At 38.3% G+C, this 20,614-nt stretch overlaps 2 long non-coding RNA genes across 2 annotated transcripts, besides 3 other annotated features; one reads left to right on the plus strand and one right to left on the minus strand.

Moving 5' to 3' along the window:
* Positions 1–3,495: 3,495 nt before the first annotated feature.
* On the plus strand, positions 3,496–10,349 carry LOC101927871 (uncharacterized). Its single transcript, XR_426720.4, has 3 exons — positions 3,496–3,538; positions 5,450–5,499; positions 10,239–10,349. It is a non-coding gene; the product is annotated as an uncharacterized LOC101927871 (long non-coding RNA).
* LOC105378836 (uncharacterized) lies at positions 8,787–20,502 on the minus strand. Its single transcript, XR_947568.2, has 2 exons — positions 20,079–20,502; positions 8,787–9,024 (listed from the first exon to the last, which is right to left on the minus strand). It is a non-coding gene; the product is annotated as an uncharacterized LOC105378836 (long non-coding RNA).
* Positions 11,912–12,413: an enhancer, noted in NCBI's record as "H3K4me1 hESC enhancer chr1:88433977-88434478 (GRCh37/hg19 assembly coordinates)". NCBI's record gives its function as "activates a minimal SCP1, AML or CMV promoter by ChIP-STARR-seq in primed H9 embryonic stem cells {active_cell/tissue: H9 hESC(primed)}" and the evidence as "EXISTENCE:reporter gene assay evidence [ECO:0000049][PMID:30033119]".
* Positions 12,414–12,913: an enhancer, noted in NCBI's record as "H3K4me1 hESC enhancer chr1:88434479-88434978 (GRCh37/hg19 assembly coordinates)". NCBI's record gives its function as "activates a minimal SCP1, AML or CMV promoter by ChIP-STARR-seq in primed H9 embryonic stem cells {active_cell/tissue: H9 hESC(primed)}" and the evidence as "EXISTENCE:reporter gene assay evidence [ECO:0000049][PMID:30033119]".
* Positions 17,449–17,966: an enhancer, noted in NCBI's record as "OCT4-NANOG hESC enhancer chr1:88439514-88440031 (GRCh37/hg19 assembly coordinates)". NCBI's record gives its function as "activates a minimal SCP1, AML or CMV promoter by ChIP-STARR-seq in naive H9 embryonic stem cells {active_cell/tissue: H9 hESC(naive)}" and the evidence as "EXISTENCE:reporter gene assay evidence [ECO:0000049][PMID:30033119]".
* Positions 20,503–20,614: the final 112 nt, after the last annotated feature.

Here is a 20,614-nt window from a genome sequence, read left to right on the forward strand (position 1 = left end):
AATTTCTGAATATATGCCAAATGCAGTGCTGGTCATTTTTTTGACATCAGTAGGACATACTTGAGATAAATTTGACATCTGTCAATAAATTAGTATTTCACCAAGCAAACTACTTAGAAAAAAATTGGAAATTTACGGACATTGAAATGCACTTTAGAAATCCAGAAACTTTATAAAGGAGAACTCCTTAATACTAGTCTATTTAAGTTATATTTTATTATGAGTATTTATTTATTGAGCAATGACTACATCACATATGTTGTATACAAGATAGGGCAGAATTAATTTAACTGTATAGAACAAACTAAATTTGTATTATCCAAAGAAAATCTACAACTTGAAGTAATTACTTTTGTTGGAGACAGATTCTTTATTGTGAAAATAATTAAACAAACAAACAAACACCATCAGAGAATGTGAGTTAACAGTCAGGAAACTGGGAGAAATGGAGAATGCATTTTAAAAGTCCCACCTTCCCACATTTCATGTAATGGCTAATTAAACATATGGAATACATTATCTGAACCACAAATTAATGTGTTTGGATAGGGTAGGAGCAAACAAATGAAAATGAAGGAAAGCTATGCAATTGGAATCCAGGCATGATGTGGACAAGCTCTGCTGGGCACCAGCATTTGGTTCATGTTTGAAAAAATTACATTAGAACACTTAAAAGCAACATCTTGCTTAGAGGATTCTCCTTTTCAAGAGAAAAATTGAAGTTGGCAAAGCTCGGATAACAATATATACTAGTATTATTGATGGCCAAAAATAAGAGGAAAGGAAATTACACCACTGATTTATTCCAATACATTTAAACTTTCTGGACAGTTTCCACATGTTAAAAAGGACATTGGTGAGCATCTACAGGTATCTTATTAAGCATTGTGCTGCCTCTCAATATAGTTATTTACAGAAAGACTGGCCTTTAAAAATATATTTTGCCTATGGGGAAAATTGAGACTGGACCTACATGATGCCAATGGTACTTATAGAAAATTAAAACTCCTCAATTGTTGGAAAAGATATTTTATATCATACATGTATGTATTTTCGAAACAAGTTGCTTCCTTGTCTTAGAGTCTTGTGGGTACAGGCTTGGCTCCCACTGTAGACTAACCAGGTGATGAAAATGAGAACTCCCAACTCTGAGTTACCCGTCCATTACTCAGCCTGCTAGGCCACGCTGCCTCTCCCCAGCAACTCTCCCTATCTATTATATACATATATACAATTTAGACTGAGCATGCTGGGTGGCTTAACTAATGATTGCAGACCACTTTGGAAATAGAAAATACCCTGTGTGCACAGAACTAGTAATGATTAGATAACAGACTGTCCTAAATTTTACATTTAATTCAAACAAACCTTTTCTTGATGAAAGTTTTGCTATTAAACAAAAGACTTTTTTTATACTAGAGGTTTTCACGGTATTTTCATTTGAGTTGAATTTCTGTTCTTCAGACCCATATTTCTGCCAATTTCTATCTCTTGTGCTTTCTCTGGCACAACTGAAAGAACAAAGTTAATAACAGAGAAAGGACAAGCTTTAAAAAGTGCTGCATTTATCGTCGGTTGTAATTCTGCTATTAAATGGTCTTGGCATTTGGGAAATTCTTCTCAATCTTGCTTTTTTTCTTAGAGGTAAAAAATGGAAAACATGGAATTTATACTAAAAATAATCCTCTATCTTCTGCGTTCTCAGTCTTTACCTCTTTGCATTCAGTGTGTGACCTCCTACCTCTATAAGATAGTGTGCAAGATGAGTACCAAGCCTTTGCTTCCCCTTAACTTTTCTAGAAGTAACACACATGCACGTCCTCACACACACACACATACACTCACAATTTGTGTAGAATTATTTTTCACTCTGATTTCTGCCTGTGGAACAGATTGAAGATTTTACCATCCAAAACCCACAAAGAGAAAACTCCTACTGTGGTCTTCAGAATTTCCATTCAGCTGATTTGCCTGCCAAGTCCAGTGACCAGTACCGCCGCTCCTGATGGTGGGGAGCATATGGTACTGCTGTGAATAGTTTTGCTCTCACTGCTGTGAAATCCCACGCCTTCCTACAGAATGTGTTTGGAGGAGCAAATGGTAAGTGTCGCTATTCAGCATAGCTCTGTCTCTGCCTATGGAACCCAGTCTTTTAAACAACAAAATGAAGATAACTGCAAGTCTTCACAGGCCCTGGTTTAGTGTTAGGCTTCAGGGTTAATGGTCACCTGTTAACTGTTTCTTCTTCCCAGGAGAGAGGATTATCTTTTACACATCCTGGATTTACCAGGATGCATAATGGTAAACCAACCATCCATCATTTTTGTTTGTTTGTTTCAATCCTCCTCTTCCTCTTTCTTCTCCTCCTTCTAAAAAAATCATCTTAAAGTGGGACACAATTTCTAAGTTAAATTGGGGCTCTGAAAAGAGCACTAGACTTGGAGTTAGGAAGTCTGGAATATCAAACACTAACTAGCCTTGTAACCTTGGGCAAATTTATTCTGTGCCTCTTCTGTGAAACAGATGGTGCAGGCCCTGAACGTCCCTTCCAGTTCCAAGATTATATGTGTTTGTGTAGTCCAACTCCACCCCACTCCCAACCTCATCTCCCAGAAAGTCTTTCTCTACCATTCAAAATAAATTGTTATTTTTCATTTTATAATGCAGCTTTCAAGAACTTATGGGGTGGCTTGCTTCTGGGTTTGTTCATCTCCACTGTCAAGTGGTTCTTCTGTATGTTTAGCAAAACCCTGTCCCACTGTGGTGTAAGGCTGTTTTTTTTTTTCCTCCTCTGGTTTTTGTGAAAACAGAGAACAATCCTTTGGAATTTGCTTATAGTAATAGTTTTTCTTGTTTGTACTGTTACTTAAGTTGCTCTTTTATGTTGTGGCCCTTAAATGTGTCTTCTAATATTCTTATTGTCTCTTCTCCCCTGTTTTGCCAACGCATACATGTGCTGGCTGAGAGGCTAGGGTGGGGCCATTTGGGGGCCTAAGTTTGATATAATGTGTGCCACATCGGCTGGTGTGCAACTGAAGGGAGGAGGGAGCAGGCGTTCCTCTGCTGCTGAAGAGGGCTGTGGAAACTTAAGTCATAGACATGCTTCAGTGAGAGGATGAGGATTTGCCCAGATGGGAAGCTTCAAGTGCAGAGGCACTTGTACATCTACTTATCTTGAGTCTCAATGATGCTGTTTATGAGTGAGCTATTCAAATGGAGGAAGAAACCCACGGAGAAGGAGAAATAACAGGTCGGAGTGATTATGTACAGAAGGATAGGCTCTAGCAGGAGTCCAGTGGGAAAGAAGGAAGGGAATACAATTAAGAATTATTAATGGCAGATCTCTAATGATTTCACTGGATCCAAAGGAACAGGGCAATACTGAGTAAGAAACACTTGATATACGAAAAAAGCGTGAGTGCGAAGGAAAATACATCATTCTACAGATGTTGACGGACTCTGACGGTGGGAAAGCGTCCCTCAAGATTGAATTGGAGTAGAAGCTGACCCTCCCACTTGCCCAGAGATCCCCTAGCTGGTACGGCATCTTTTCCTGGTCTTTCTGGGAAATTCCCTTCATCTGTGTTTTAGCGGGGTGTGATAGAATAACTGTGTCCATAAGATGGGGGTGAATGCACAAAAACAGGCTTCAACTTTTAGAAAGATTTAATTTAGGGACACACAGGCACCTCTCCTCCTAAATATGCCCTTAATGGTACTGTAAAGGATGTGCAGGTATGCAGTGTATGTGCAGTTTCTATGTGTGTGTGCATGTGTTGTTGAGTGTCTAAGATTAAGAAAATAGATTTTGTGAAACCCCGTCTCTACTAAAAATACAAAAGATTAGCCAGGGGTGGTGGCATGCACCTGTTGTCCCAGCTGCTCAGGAGGCTGAGGTAGGAGAATCGCTTGAACCCGGGAGGCAGAGATTGGAGTGAGCAGAGATCACACCACTGCACTCCAGCCTGGGTGACAGAGTGAGACTCTGTCTCAAAAAAAAAAAAAAAAAAAAAAGAAAGTAGATTTTTAATTGCACGAGACCTAACATCACTCTCCCTCTGATCCACTCCCCACCACATCCCACCTCTTCTACATCAAGTTTAGAATTGCTAGAATGCTTAAGGCTACCCATAATAGGTTAATAATAATCTATTGAGAGGTTCTTCATATGTGCCCACATCATGCTGAGCTCATTACATGCATTTTCATATCTAATCCTCCCAGTAATATATGAGATATTCACAAACGTTTATACAGTGCTTATTAAAGAGCAGACAATATTCTGTTTTGTATTTATGTATATAAATTTAATTAAGTACTATTATTATAGTTTTTTATATATAAGGAAACTGAGGCACAAAGAAATTAATAAGCCATCCATAGTTAAAGAGCTAGTGAATGACAGAGTAAGGATTCAAAATCCATGTCTGATTTATCTCGTTGGACTGCAAGTTCCATGAAAGTAGCAATTACATATGGTTTTGCAAACCATCATGCCCTCAATGCCTGGAACACAGTAAACACTCAAACATATTGTTTGAATGATTAAACACAGAGCCTAAAGCATTATCCTCCATGCAGTACTAAGTCTCTGAATAAGCTTTCTCCAAAATCAAGAGAAACATAACTAGATAAGCAATAGAAGTAGGGGAGACAGTCTAATTCAATCATCATTCATTCAACAACTATTTCTTGAGCACCTGCTACGTGCCAGGCCCTGGCCTGGATGGTGCTTTTTTTTTTTTTTTTCTCCCCGAAAAGGAAACACTAAGTGATTTGCCCCAACACCTTCCATACCCAGCCAGGTTTGCCTCCAAATTTCTTCCACACCCTCCTCTGTCTCCCAGGGCTAATACAATGAGCCCAGCAACATGGAGAGGGCGGTTCTCGTTCCATGCAGGCAGCTCTAAGCCACGTTTTACTTGCTTTCCATTAGTCTTAAGCCTTTAGAACCCACTGGGGATAATGATTCAGTGCTGGGGAGAGCATGAAGGCTGCATGAAGCAGATCTCAGAGGGAGGGTCTGAAAATTGGAGGCATTTTATTGTTTTCTTCTTTTTAACTCTGAAAACTTTCCAAAAGGAGAGATCTATTTAAATGGTTTACAAAATCCATCTTAAGGTCAGTTCTAATTCAGGTGGGGCCTGGCAGCTGTATGATTTCAGAGTTGTTACATAGCTGCCAAACCTAGCTAGATGCCCACCTTGAGCAGCAGTGAGACTCCAGCTGCCTACGCAACTCCTGCAGCCTCCAAGACCAACTTGGCCTCTGTGAAATGTAGAATGTGATCAGGGCCAAAGAGAAAAACCTGTCCTATATTTTGGTAGAAATAGATTGATGCAGGACTTCAGAACTTTATTTTTGGTAAATTTTAGAAAACAAAGACACCCACTGTGACACATAGTAGGCATGCATATGACCTTCTATTTCTCTTCATTTCTACAATCAGGATACGATTTCAGCAATAGAACACTTGATCATCACAGTGCTTGGCATATAGTAAGTACTCAGTAAATGTATGATCAATGACAAAAATATGTATAAAATAATGAGGAAAATGAGGAATTGGGAGATCCAGGTTCTAGTCACTAGATTTTTTTTATTAATTAGTAAGATAAAAATATGAAAAATCATCTCTCTGAGGCTCTGTTGTCTCATCTACAAAATAAGGACATTAGATGAGATTTTAAAAATTTCTCCTTGTTCTTAAATTTTACAATTGAAATTTTGAAGAGTCATCATTACATAGTAGAAAGAACAGAAGCTGAAGCCCAGAGTCCCCAGACAGGATTTAACTCTAGACTCAGCCACTGATCAGCCATGAAAGCTTCAACATGTTACTCAACATTGCTGAGCCTCCATTTCTTCATCTGCATAATTGAGATGTTGAAATATATTTTGTAGGCTTGCAGGAAGATAATGAGGTAAAAATTCAATGCCTGGAATACAGAAGGCTTTAAATACATGATAATTAAAAAATAAAAACCCACTGAATTTAGACTCCATTCTTCTTTGTAGTAAATGCCACAGCCATTTAGGGTAGATTACCCTAAGAGCCCCTCTTCTTCCCCACTCCCCGCATTTATGCTGTTTGCCCTGTAACTCTGCAGTGCCCCATCCAGCCTGACTCTGGCTTTGGCTAAATGATGTACTTTGGTCAGTACAGTGTCAGCAAATGTGATGCAAGCAGATGTTTGAAAAATGACTGGGTGATTGGACTCAATCTTTGGTGACTCTGCCATCACTAAAAGAAGGATATGTCTAACTAATCCAAAAGTCCCAAGAAGAGGACAAGAGACACATGGGATAGAGCCAACACTAGCCATGATCAGTCTAGGCCAGCCAAATCCCAGTTAAGTCAACCCTCAAAAGCAAAATAGATGAATTGTTTTAAGCCACTGAATTTTGGAGCAAATTGTTATGCAGCAGCTTTATGGCAATAGCTAACTGATACACCATTGATTCATTACAGAAGATAGGAGTTGTAGATAGTTTTATTTTAAAATTGTAGTTAATTAGTAAAATTTGAAAATATATTTACTTTCCCATATTTGTTGAATCTTCAGATACACTTTTGCATGAAATTTTGGTAGAAGAAGGAAGACAAAAATTTGCTAAATTATCTTTTTGGTTCAAATGACATTTTTCATGGTTTCTGAAACATTTTAAATTGCTAAATTATGAACATTTGAAAACTTGCCATTAGGTCTGAGTATTCTAGCTTTAATTTTAGATTTAGGAATTTTTAGCAGGGAGGGACTTAACATTTGCAGTCCCAAATCTGATTACAGAGTATGTCTGTGCATTGCTCAATACCATTGTCCATTTGTGAAACCTAGGTATTCTAGGTATACAACAGTAACAGTTGTATTCAGATTAATGAGGTTTTTAAAATACAGTGTCCAAAGATGGTTACTGATAGAGCAACAGGACCCCCTGTTTACAAGGCTGAGCACATCTTTTAGAAAGAAAGGCTCTGGTAGAAACCAATCACCTCTGAACCAACACAATCATTTCTTAAATAGGTTAGTGTATTAATTTATAAATCGGAAGCCACATTCTTCTAGGCATTAAGACTGAAACTAGTTGGTAAGCTTATTCAGAACATGGAACAGAACAAATATGCACAACACTGGGCACATGATTGATTGATTATCAGAAAATGAACATTTTGGTTGAAGAACCGTGAGATAAAACCTGCTCCTCCTTACTTAAGATCCAGACCAAATGCTACTCCACCAGGAAGAATATGTCTCCTGGGACCTGTCAGACCCACTCCCAAGAATGACTCTGCCATGAGGCTGTAAGCTCCTCAAAGACATGAGACATGTTATACTCATCTTACATTTCCTGCCTGTCAAGATACCATACACATAATATACATATATACCTAATATGGGCATAATATTATTAAACAAATGAGTAATAATATTGCCCAATTCATAAGTGAGGAATCTGAGAGTCAGAGAGATTAACTAAATTTGGAAATCATGCATCTAGACAAAGCTGGGAATTAAATTTGAACTCCACTCCAGGTAAAACCGCAGTTATTTTCACTATACTACACTTGAATCAGGGTTCCTGTGGCAATAAACAAATTAACACATGCAAAGTACATAGCACAGTAGTAGATGCCGAATAAATGTTGAAATAAATGTTGAAAAGGGTAAGATGTTACTTACACCTTTCACCTCTTACTTTGGTGCCAGGAATCCCACCATTGGAGATCTCTTGCTCTTCTCCTGAATGCCTTTTTTCTTAGAAGTCACTAATTTATTGTTGGTTGAGGGAGATGGAAAACAAGGCAAACATCCTAATAGAGTAATGGCTAATTTATGGTATTGACAATCAACTGGATTTATATGGACATTGTTATATGGACAATATCCAGTTTAAAATAACATGGACATCCATTAAATGATGACATTTTATGTTTTCTTTGAAAGCAGCTTAGTATTTTTTTCATACATTTGGCATATTTGCAGTATTATCGCAATACTTTCAAAACTAAAAAAAAGTAGTGATTGAGAAAACACTAGATGGAAATGTTCACAGTATTTGTCTTTAGGTGATAAGAGCTGGGATGATTTTTCACCATCTTTCTATTTTCCTATTTCAAAAAATAAGTGAGTCTTACTTGGATACACTAAGAGGATTTCACAATGGCTTTTATGTTGCATTTTCTGTTCCCTACCTGTCTGTGGCAGATGGACCATCTACTCCCCTTTATCAGTGCTTCCATATTGTGGTATTTATAGCCTTATATTGTACTTAGTTATTTCATATTGACCTCCCCTCCCACCTGACTGTGAGTTTATTAAGAGCAGGGGTTGTCGAATTCCTCTGCATATCTCCAGCACCTGGGTAGTCCACAGGCCATAGCAGGCTCATAAATCTTTGTTAAATGAATGATATTTTTCATGACTTAATTAATAATTTGCCCCATGATTTCCAAGAACGGGAGAATAGGAAAATGCTGATATTCGTATGTGTGTATTACAGCAGATTCAGAGCTTGCAAATATTGTACTATGTTTTCACATGTCTTACTTCGGTTTTGCACATTTACAAATTAGAAAATAAAACTAAAAATTAGGTTGAGCTTTTTTTCCTCCCACATCGCCTTTTCTGAGTAATGATGAATAGTGCTCAATATGTATGTTCTTCTAATATGAAATCTGCAAATTCTCTGAATAAAGGCAAAATGTATGGAAATTATATTAAACAGAATTTAAGTCTGTTTTCTTAAAATTAGAATGTATAATATTTAGTTTCATGAGCAGAACAAATAATACAATTAGTGTTTATTCTCCGACTACTCTTTTACTAAAAAGCTCAGTTAAAAAATGCACGCAACACCAAAACATAGCGCTTCCCCATCACTGTTCCAAGTTTCATATGTTAAACAAAGACAGGCCAACCTTAAACCTTTTGATAAATATGATGCTTGTGGTAACTGCAGCATTCACTTCGTATCCCATTTCTCCAAGTTCCTGTCAGCCAGATGTCACTTGCAATGCAAACACTAGAAAAATATGAAATAATAATTTCATACATCATCTATGTGTGCATGAGCCGGTCAAACATTCAATACAAATTCAAACTGCTACTACACACAGAGCAAATATCATCCAAATAATATTTAAAATGATTGAAAGGCTTTTGATTTGGAAGTGTATTCTCTTAAGCTAAGTGGTCCCCAAGACCATCTAGAAAATTCAATTGTTTCATTTTTAAAATGTTTTCTGCCCAAAATTATATCAAACCCTAATGTCTCAATAGAAACACATGGGATTGGATTGCTGACTGGGCGCCTGATGTCAAAGAAAAAATCTAATTTCACAATGGCATTTCCTCATACTGTCTCACCAAAATACAAAATTGATAAAATTTTAATGGATAATTTTCAGAAGCAGAATGTTAACCATTGGGAAAATATGAAGGGAAACTTAGCATTATAGTATAGGAGAAGCAAAGTGAAGGAATAAATTGACTATAAATACAGATAAACAATGCTACATAAAAAAGTTCTTAAAAGCTTTTCTTATCGAAAACAGAATTTCGACTTTAAAAAGGCCCTTACTATAATAGCAATATATATATATATATATGCTTTTTTGTTTCTGTGTCCATTTCTAAGTTTCTTTCCCCTAATCTTTTCTATTTTGTAAAATGATATGGGGAAAGGGAATCATACTGTAAGCTATACCATTAGATATACATTTGCACAGTGTTGATTTCTATTTTTGATGTTAGCTACAGAAGTGGGCATGTATACCCCTGGCTTCAATTAAGAGATAAGACAGAATGGTACTACATTCAGGCCTGCTCCTTTGCACTGAGGTTCTGCATTTCCTCTTTCCCCTTGCTGTTTAGTGTGAATTTCCCTGCCTGTATGGAGGGAAGGAGTCCAGTTCCTTCGCACCCACCCGCCCCCTTCTTTTTAAGGAGAGAGCTCAGTGCTGTACAAGAGCAGGGTTTCAGAGCAGACATTCATGTGCACAGTGTGACCTTCAGCATGTACCTTAACATCTTTGAGCCTCAGTGTTCCCATCCGTGAGATGGAAATAATAATTCCTACCTTATTGTATTCTTGTGATATTTGGGAATAATGCTCATGAATCACAGCTGATACAATGCTTAACACAAATGAGCTACTCAAATATTACTTTATGATGATACTATTTTATTTTTTGAGCTTCTCATACCTGCTGCCTTGGATTCTGCCTTCTTTTTAAGCTTTCCTGATCAATTTCATCACACAAGCTGGCAGCTATGGGCAGTGAGGGAAGGAAGGGGCAATCTCCTCACTAGACAGCCGTGCCAAGGTCACCCTGGTCCATCCATGAGGTAAGCCATGTGACAGCCAAACCACTGCAGGACCCTAAAAGTCACTATGTGACCTGGAGCCACAAACTCAAGGTGCTGGGGACACTCCAGAAAGGCAGATGCTGATCTCCTGCAAGAAGGGATCTTCTTCCTCAGAGACACTGAGGATGACCATCAATTTCCCTCACTTAACACCGCTTCTCGCATAAGATGCTGTACAGGGGACCTCACCATTAGTTCAAAGTTTTAGAGCAGAATCAACTGTAACACAAATGTTCCTGTTTAAAAACGTGAGATCGAGTAACATGTTGAGCGTTTCTTCCCTCTGTTTTCCTTTTCTTTCTCTCTCAACCATCTTATCCACTTCATTATGTTTTTATGTGAGGGCTGGCCCTGGTTCCTAAATAATCTTGGCAGTATATTCTTTCTTCTCTCCAGCCCCAATACAGGATTTTGGACCAGGTAGATCATTAATAAATAGTATTTAAAATTGAACTTAGCCCTTTTACTTAAGGTGGTTTATTTAGCTGACTAAAAACTGATCCTCTTTATTAGCTAGGATGAGGGGACTTTCTGGTATAGTTGCTAATATGTAGGATTTAGAGTCAAACAGAACGAGACTGTTATCCTAACTCTGACATTAGTTAACATCTTGGGCAAATTTCTTAATGACTCTGAGTTTTCGTTTTCTCAATTATAAAATGGAAATAATAATTCCTATTTCTTAGGATTAGTATAAGTAGGATTGCCAGGTAATATACAAGATACCTAGTTCAATATGAATTGCAGATAAATAATGATATTTTTCATACAAATATGTCCCAAATATTGTACAGAACACATTTACACTAAAAAATTATTTATTGTTTATCTGAAGTTCACATTTAACTAGACACCCTATATTTTTATTTGCTAAGTATGGCAACCCTAATTATAAAGACTAAATGAAAAAATATACTGTAAAGCTACCAGCTTCATTCCCAGTAGGTAGTAGGATTCACTGAGTATTATCATTTCCTTCTTCCCTTGTTGGGTTGTTGTGAGATTAAATGCCTGTCACATAGTACTAATTCAATAAATTTTAGTTTGCCTTTCCTCTCAAGGTTCAGCCTCAGAAGAATCTGTGCTCTGTGCCTAACATTGGAGAAAAAGCCTCAACCGCTTGTGACATTTATCTCTAGGCTTTACTCCTCATCTCTACTCCCCAGGGCCTGTTTGTAGCATGCAACAGAGAGCGTGGAGTGGCCTAGTTAAAAGGACAAAGTAGACGGGACAGAGCTGTTAATACCGGTCCCCCTCAACTTAAGGCAACTTTATCTTTGAAAATCTGAACTTACTCTGGAAGCAGATGTCTGAAGGAGTGATTATTCCCGTGATTTTATAAAATGTTCCATTACAAAAATTCTTTAAATTGTGAGCTCTCTAAAGAGTTCCAAAACAAAGTTTTAAAAAGGATTTGATTTACAAAAACATAGACGTAAGATAACCTGTTCAGCAATAAATCTGTTACCTAAAGAGTGTGATAAAGGCGTTACTAACAGCTCTATAAAACTTGCTTCCAGAGGCACCACTCAGCCCCCAGGTCAGCTTTTCCGGACACTGTTATTCATCTGGCTAGAAAGGCTTTCAGCTGTGACTATTGCCAAAGGCCCTCCTGGGGTGGTGGCCAGGCATGAACTTGGCTGCCCACAAAAGATACAGGCAAGGGTTTTAAGGACATGTTTTCTTTCTTTCTTTTTTTTTTTTTTCTTACAAGTTAAGTGTTGTTGCTCTCTGAGAAGCCTGAGATAGTGCATAGGATATGATTCAACGGAAAGTTTTTGTATGAGAAAATGGCTCTTTCAAAGTGGGCTATCTGAGGATCAGCACATTTGGAGTCTGTCTGACCCACATTTCCAAAGCTACAGCTGGCTCCACTGGACTGGGGCATGTGACAAGCATCCTGGGAGAAGCTGTCCAACATTGGGAAGGGAACACTTCCAAGTCTGGAGAATAGTTAGGGCTAAAACCTATGAATGTCTCTAGATTACACACTGGGTCTTTCCAGGGGAATGAAGGCTTTGGCTGACAGCAGAAAGCAGGTACTGTCCACTTTCTTAGGCTCACATTCTCATGTAAACAGGCCAGGCGGCCACATACTCTGCACCAGCTGCAGCTTCTGGGTGGTCCTGCTAGGAAGTTCCAAGTGGATTGCAGTGCAGTCATGTAGCTGGTGGTCACACAGCTAGAATAAGCATCTGTGGGAGACAGCAAAGGCATGTAGGCTCTCCACTCTCCAGTCTCGGGTGGAAAATCAAAGTAAAATCTGACTTCCCCGAGAAGTCTGTTCTCCAAAATTAAAAAATAAAATGGAACAAGACAAAATCATAGAGTCAAAGAGTGGGTGGATTTTTCTGACAGGCAATTCCTGATGTAAAGATTATTCAGTTCTGCTTCCCCGTTCCTCTTGGGAATATGGAAGTAGAGCCTTTGTAAATGCATGTTAATTTATCAGTGTTATTGCATACTAAGCTATGAATGACATTATGACACTTTTCAGCATCTCTCCTTAGGAAGGCATAACAAGGGTATTGCTGAGTTGGAATTCCCCCTCCACTACTTATTACCTGTTTGACAAGTTACTTAACCTCTCTGTGCCTGTTTTGTTATCTGTAAGTGAGAAATACTAGTAACTCCTTAAAAGGGTCGTTGTGAGAATATAAATGAATTAATATATATAAAAGTTTAGAACACTGTCCGGCATAGAGAGAGCCCTAAGCAAGGATTAACTGTAATTAATATAATGAAAATGACATTAATGTTATGGACTATATTTGTATTGTGCTTTGTAGTTATAAAGCACTTCCACTTCTTTTTGGTGAATCTGTAGTTAAGGTGAAGTGGAGTAAGACTGAAGAATCTCTATTTTTCTTAACGAGGTAAGCGAGAAATAGGAGTAATCATACTATATGAGATTATCCCAGGTAGAAAGGGTGATGTATGTAACTCAAGAGTAGAAGAGGGAAATTCCATAAAGGAGATACTGAGGTGGTTGCTGGGTTGGAATTGAGAACCCAGGTAGAAGAGTAGTAGAATACAAGCAGTGTTCAGGGCTGTGGACAGCAAGGGGAATGGAAATGGATAGAAATCCAAAGAAATGTTTATAAGGAGTTTACAAATAAAAATCAGGAGTCTTAATATGGTTCAGCAGACAGCTAAGGTCTTAAAGGAGTATTTTGCAAATTGAAAACACTTAGTTTTCCTGGTTCTACATTTTACCCCAAAGTCAATTACAGATGAAGGTCTAAGAGCTGAATATATTAAAAATTAGAGAACATAGAGTAACAAGAAGAGAAGAAAATTGAGAATTCATCAAACATTTGGGATAGGTTTAACTTTCTAAAATTAGAATCAATAGAAGAAAATTGATACATGGTGGCATTGAACAAGTACTTTTGAGTATTCACATTTCCGTTTTGATACCCATAGACCAAATCAGGGAAACCCATTTCAGGTCACAAAGATATTACTTCCTACAGAGGATCTTGGCTTCTCAAGGTTCCATCTTTCCATCAAGACCATTAGGTAGTGCTTTATAATCTGTGGGGCCCAGCACAAAGTGAAAATTTGGAGGCCTTTTTCGAAATGCAGGAAACAAGTGCTATTAAATGTACTAAATTATAAAATGCTTTCCCGTCTTCTATGGTCTCTCTTCTGAATTGTCATGATTTCTTTTTTATTTTCTGTTTAATGTCATTCTAAATAAGAAAATAAACAAATGCAAAACAAACGCAAAATATTTCACATGTATATTCTATTAACACTCTACTTTTGGCTTACTAGTGAATAAGGATAGACTAAAAGGAAAAGGAACTATGGATTGGCCTATCATCTCCTTTCATTCCACGTCGTCGTTTCCAGCATAAGTGATTGATTAATGCACAGAATTGACATGGGTAGAAAGGATCCGATAGAGTTCCTTAATTGTTTGTGTTTCTTAGAACTCCATGCCTTCTTTCTGTGGTCTGTTTTTGAAGCTAACCAGAATTCTCCTGGAATGAAAAGCATGGCCTCTAGAGGGTGTCAGTGCCCCCCTACCCCACCCCTTCCTCCCCAAATTACTGTCATAGATACAACACACTTAACTCTGTACTTGCTTTGAATCTCCCTTAACTCCCACATCTTGTAGGTCCACCAGAACTGTAGGCTCACAGGGCATTGTGAATACTACATGCAAATAGGGCAGCAAGGAGAGATTGACACGCATGTTGTACGTATCTTCTCTGCTCATGCGCATGCCCCCTTTGGACTTTGCTTATAAAACACAAATTCAAAGATTAAATTATTAAGAATCTCAAAATGACAAGAGCAGAGAATTAAAACAAGATTAAATTTCCTTGAGACTACACAGGTCTCATATTCATGAAGCTGGCTGTGATCCCCAGTAAAGTTCCATTTTGACTGTCTCAGTTGCAGTCATTGTACTCTCTTTGAAACACTTTTAGTACTTATTGTCCAAACAACTGTTTTATGATAGTTTCTATCTTTTAAGCCTATAGTGTTCTCTTTGGACTCATCCAAATCCCCTGGAAAGGAACAGCTGTCTTTTACAGCATTTTGCATCTTTTATAACACTTTGCATCTTCAGTGGATTGTAGAGGGTCCTGTGCATACAGCAGGTGCTTATTGTGATTATGGATGATACTGAGCACCCCAGGGGCATGATCTGAGTCATGGAACCCCTGAAACTATAAGTTAGTAATATTTGTTAGTCTCCTCCTACTTGCTAAATCCCTCTTTATCAACTAACAAGGGGGTAAAGTACCCTGTCTATTACTTGTGAAATTCCTTTTTAACCTTTCATATATTAAAGTGTTGCCAAAATCCACTTTTTTTGTATGAGTAAAACTTCTGGCTCTTGCCTAGTAGTCCCTAGACACTAGCAGAGGGCATGGTGACAGGAGAGCTGGGAGTGTGCACGTCACCATACTGTCTCAGTCAAAATTGAAGGATGTATCTACCATTTCCAAGTATTCTTACCATGGAGCAGCAGCACAGGCATCCATAGCCAGGGATTCTGGACACTGAAATCTTTGTGTGTATGGTATGCAAATTCTATATATACAAACACTTAGTCTTCACTGGAGATTAGAGAGATGGCAAAGTGACTTTAGAGCATACAGACATGGGCCAGCTCACAGTGGTGAAAATAAGACATTCTAAATTGAGGCAAAAATGTGTGAGGCAAAATGTGTAGCACATTACCTACTCTCCCCTCTCCAAACCTGGGGACTGTGGCAAGCCCTACAGTAATGGAGTAGGATGGTACTGGGGAAAGACTCTGTGGGTATAAGTTGATTGTATTTCTGATAGTTGCCCAGAGTGGCCCCCAAAAGTGGAGAGTCCAGAAGGTTTGCAGTTCTCATTCTAGGACCTGGAATCTATGTAGCAATAAGGATAAGAGCTAGGGAAGCCAAAATGTCTACCTAGACCAAGGATCTGAGAACAGGGACAGACATAGGAAACCAAACCAAGGAGGTTATATAAATGCAGGCCTACTCTAGACTGGAGGAGATAGCAAATGGAATGACACAGGAGCAGATAGCTTAGGACAACTATCAGTGAGTAAGTAGTGGTTCAGCTGAACTTAAAGGCACAGAATCTGATCACCTAGACACATGATCAAAGATAAATCAGTGTGATCACTGTCATTTTGCTGAGACAGCACACCTCATGAGATAGGCAGTGTTTAAAAAAAGGGTGGGAGAAAGTCAGGGAATGCTATGCCTGTACTTACGTCCCAGTGAGTATAAGAGGAGGAGAGCCAAAGTTTTTCAGGGAGGATGTAAAAATATGTTCAGTGAAGGAAAGTCGAGTGTATCTGGAAAAAGAAAAGGGAAGGAATGATGGAAAGAAGAAAGAAGGAAAGTGATTATATTTGTGAAAGCTCCTTGCTTTGCACAAAGCCTGATGCATAGTAGTGATGTTATTTGAAGTAAGCTGAAGATTAGAGAAATTAGAAAGGAAGAAAATAAGCTATAAGCTGTGATTTAGTTTGGATGGGTATAATTTTTCTCTTCAACCCTGGCTTCTAAAAATGTCATAATTTACCCCATGATGAGAAACTTAAAAGATAAACACTTAATTGAAATAGGCTGACACGTCTCCTAAGGGTACTCATCTTAGGACTAGGAAGAAGAGAAAGAAGGAAAGATGGAGAATAAAGGAGAAGAAAATTGATAGCTCACTAATCTATTTCCAATCAAAAACAGCTTGAGTTGCTCAGAGGGGAGCCTCTGTGGTGTGGTTGCCAAACAAAACATAGAGAAGTTGACTTGCTATGATCCACAGAGACGGCTAGTTCTGAAAGGCCGGCTCACAAAGGCAAAAAAGATCTTCTTAATAAAGCCTCTCCAAGGGGCCATGGTTTCTGTGTTCATCAAGAATCCCTGAAATCCTAGAAATTTGGAGGTAGTCAGAATTGATTTAATCCTTTTTACTATAAATCTCATTTCTGAAAATGATTAACAGAGGCAGAGACATAAATGGTAAAGTCTCGATCAGGGGAAATGCTGTCAGCGTATCATCTAGATAGATTAGAAAATGAACGCTCAGGTTTCTGTGAAGGAAGACTAATGACATTAAGTCAAGATGAAATAGAAAGGAGCATTGCACAGCCTCCAAAATCATAAACCATGAGCTCGCCGTGACAGAAGACCCTCAGCCATGTTCTGAACTGGAAAATCATCAGGAGTTCAGTCTGAGAGTATTTTCTTAGGCCTCATTTGGAGCCCCTGGCTTTTTGGGGTGTGTCTTGAAGTTCTTGGAATTGCTTTGCGAAGGTTCTGACATTTGTATAAAAGTCAGATCCTTCTGCCTACAACTTTCAGTGTAATCAATTGCGCCCTCAGAAAAAAAAAAATGAGGGTTTGGCTCACTAAAACAATAAATAAACATTTAAGATACTTCTACACTGTGCAACCATCTGATTTTCAAAGTGTCACAATTCTGATGCCTTTCAGAAATTAGACAGAGCTATTGCCCTGAAATCAGTGGTGGCTGAGACCAACGTCCTTTGTTTAAGTTAAGATCAAATCATGAAGCAAGTATATAAATTTCTGCCAAATAAAGCTAAAGCAGACATTCTGCTCTGTTTAGTAGAGAGAACAATCCTGTAAATCTGCTTCACATGTGGTGTATCACTTGATTACTTAAACTGTGTCTCCGTTGGAACCACAGCTAAATATCTGTTTGCTGGAGTTTCTCTGCGATTTGATAAAATAAATCTATGCTGTTCTAATACAGTCTTTTTAAGTTGTCCCACCTTCCTTCAGGGAAACACAATGACCAATTGGAAATGACTGTGATCATCTAAACAGTGGGAGGCCCTGCAAACTAACTGCAAGTCGTTCTTATGCAGGGAGCATTGGAATCACTGACATTTGATGTTAAGGCACTGGCCCTATGGCTAGGCCAGAAATGGTCTCCAAGCTTCCTAACACACCACTGATTTTTATGAGAAACAGGCCTATAAACCTAAAATTCAAGGTAAATTTTTATCCAATTTCAGAGTAGAAATGGTTATGTTAAAAGTAATTTCCCAACCCCTCCTCCATCCAATTATGGCTACAACATTAGAAGATAAAAATAGACTATTCTTCATCTCAAATTTTCAAAAAGTGCAGTATTCAATAGATAGATGGGTAGTTAGGTGGGTAGGTAGATACTTACTCTTCAATTCTAATGTTTCTGACTTAAAATTTTAAGGTCATTGTCTCCCTTCTGACACCTCTTACTACATCAACATCCCATTATATCATTATAGACTCATGAAGCAATGTACTTTTACATTTTGCAGGATAATGACTCTTTTGTATTTCAGTTTTTATCATAATATAAATCTTGAATTGCAATTTGCATATCTTTTGTTTAGAAAAAGAGACCCCTATTTAAGACTTTGTCATTTTAATACATAGGCTTTAAAGTGGCTTTTTTTTTTTAAAGAAATGCACCAAAATATTCCAATTTATTCTTCGCGTGAATCTGATTCTAACTCTGCTGCTGCATCAATAAATTAGCAAATGTCCTGAACAATACATTTCCAACAATGATGGCTCAACGGCTTAGTCCTCTGTGCCAGTATGCTCTTTGCCTGTTAGAAGTCCAACCATAAATTTGTAATGACAGTTTGGACTAGACCATCAGACTGATATCAGACTAATGTGTATACACACACACATATATGTATATATATTTGTCTATTTTTTATGAAGAGTATACTATGTATGCATATTTATATATGTTTACATGTATATATGTATGTAGAGATATTTATTTATTTCATATGAAGAGTGCACTGTTCATCAGCCTTTTTTGCTTTCTGTCTTTTTATTTTTTCTTCCCCATGGTAAGACTATCTCCACAAAGCAGTTTGGGAAATTAGCCACTGTGGCAGAACTTGGGGTGACCTGAGAGAGCCTTTAAGAGACAAGCAAGGCACGGGGCAGCTTCTTGGCCACCTCCACACAGCATGGGGGAGCAGGCAGAGTGCTGAAGCGTCTGGCATGCCCAATGCTACCACAGTGCCTAGTATATAGAAGGTGCTTACCAAATATCTGTTAAATAAATGTATGCATGAAATAATGAAATGGGCTATAGGACTCTTCTCGCTCTCTCTCCACCTCTGTCACCAACTTATAGGGCTGATTCAGTAGCTACCACTCTCAGGGACTGCAAGATATCTGACCCTTTCCCCTGAGTGGCCCTGTAGGGGAGAAAAAATATCTTTTCTTCTACCCTTCTAGGTTCTCAGTTATAAAACAGATTAACAAAAGAAAATCATATACATTTATTCAATATAAGTTTTATGTGACACAGGAGACTTCATAAGGAAATGAAGACCAGAAGAAACAGTTAAACCCAAGTGTTTTTATAGTAAGTTTGATGAAGAGTGGAGAGTTGTGGAAAAATGTGATAGGACAAAGGATATCAGCTATGAGTAGTAAACTGAAGGAAACTTAGCAAGGCTTATTCCTTCAGGTTTCTCTTGTCCTTCCTCCATCTTCAGAGATAAGGATGTGCTTTTCATCCCAGTATAGAAAGGGTTCCTCTCACATGAAGGTCTTCTGACCTGCTTCAGGGGAAGGTCATTGATATCGTTTGGCTGTGTCCCCACCCAAATCTCATCTTGAACAGTAGCTCGCATATGGGAGGGACCTGGTGTGAAGTAATTGAATCACGGGGGCAGGTTTTCTCATGCTGTCCTCACAATAGTGAATAAGTCTCATGAGATCTGATGATTTTATAAAGGGCAGTTCCCCTGTACATGCTCTCTTGACTGCCTCCATGTAAGACACACCTTTGCTCCTCCTTCACCTTCCAGCATGATCATGATGTGTCCTCAGCTATGTGGAACTTTGAGTCCATTAAACCTCTTTTTCTTTATAAATTACCAAGCCTTGGGTATTTCTTCATAGCACTATGAAAACAGACTAATACAGTCACAGAGTCCTTCCTGTACCCACCATTTCTCAAATTCCTTCTTACAATATTCAATATGTCAAGGTGTTATATTGTAGGCAAGCACATCCTGAACCTCGTCAGCTCAGAGCATTGCCCATTTGCCTTTTCTCTGCTCTTACCCACTCCATCCTGGAAGACTTCCTTGGTTGGCTAAGTCCAAGGCATAAGATCATTGTGGAAAAGCTACCTTTTTGTGACAAAGAAAACTCACAATCTTAAAAAAAAAAAAAAAAAAAAAAAAAAGCTTACCTCTTTACTTTCCAATGTCCTGATGACACAATTGAACCAAGTGCTTAGTTGAGCAAGCAGCAATCAGCTGTGAAGCCTGGGTCAGTGTAGTGTGGAGCTATGAACTAGAACAAACTCTAGCCCCACAAAAATAAAATTTAAATCCCAGCTCTTCCATTTGTTAGCTATTTTAATTTCACAAGTTATTCTATTTCTCTAAGCCTCAATTTCCTCATTTGTAAAATGAGAATAGTAATATCTGCTTTACTGGGGCTATTGTGAAGATTAAATGTGACAGTGCATGTGAAAATGTTTATTTAACCTTTATTATGTTTGTAACATGTGTTTACCTCCATTTCTGCCAATGCTACCTGCTACCCCCCTTCCCCCACCACACACACCTATTATTTCAAATTATTTCTCCTTTCTTCCAGGAGAAAACAAAAAAATCCAAATGTGTCTTCAAACATGGCCAGAATGAGGTAGGTGAGCTGGAGGGAAGTAAATCAAAATAGCCCAAGCAGAAAACCAACCTGATACTTCACAGTACTGTCTCC

This window comes from Homo sapiens, chromosome 1, assembly GCF_000001405.40.
Source record: "Homo sapiens chromosome 1, GRCh38.p14 Primary Assembly".
In the NCBI taxonomy this organism is placed as follows: Eukaryota; Metazoa; Chordata; class Mammalia; order Primates; family Hominidae; genus Homo; species Homo sapiens.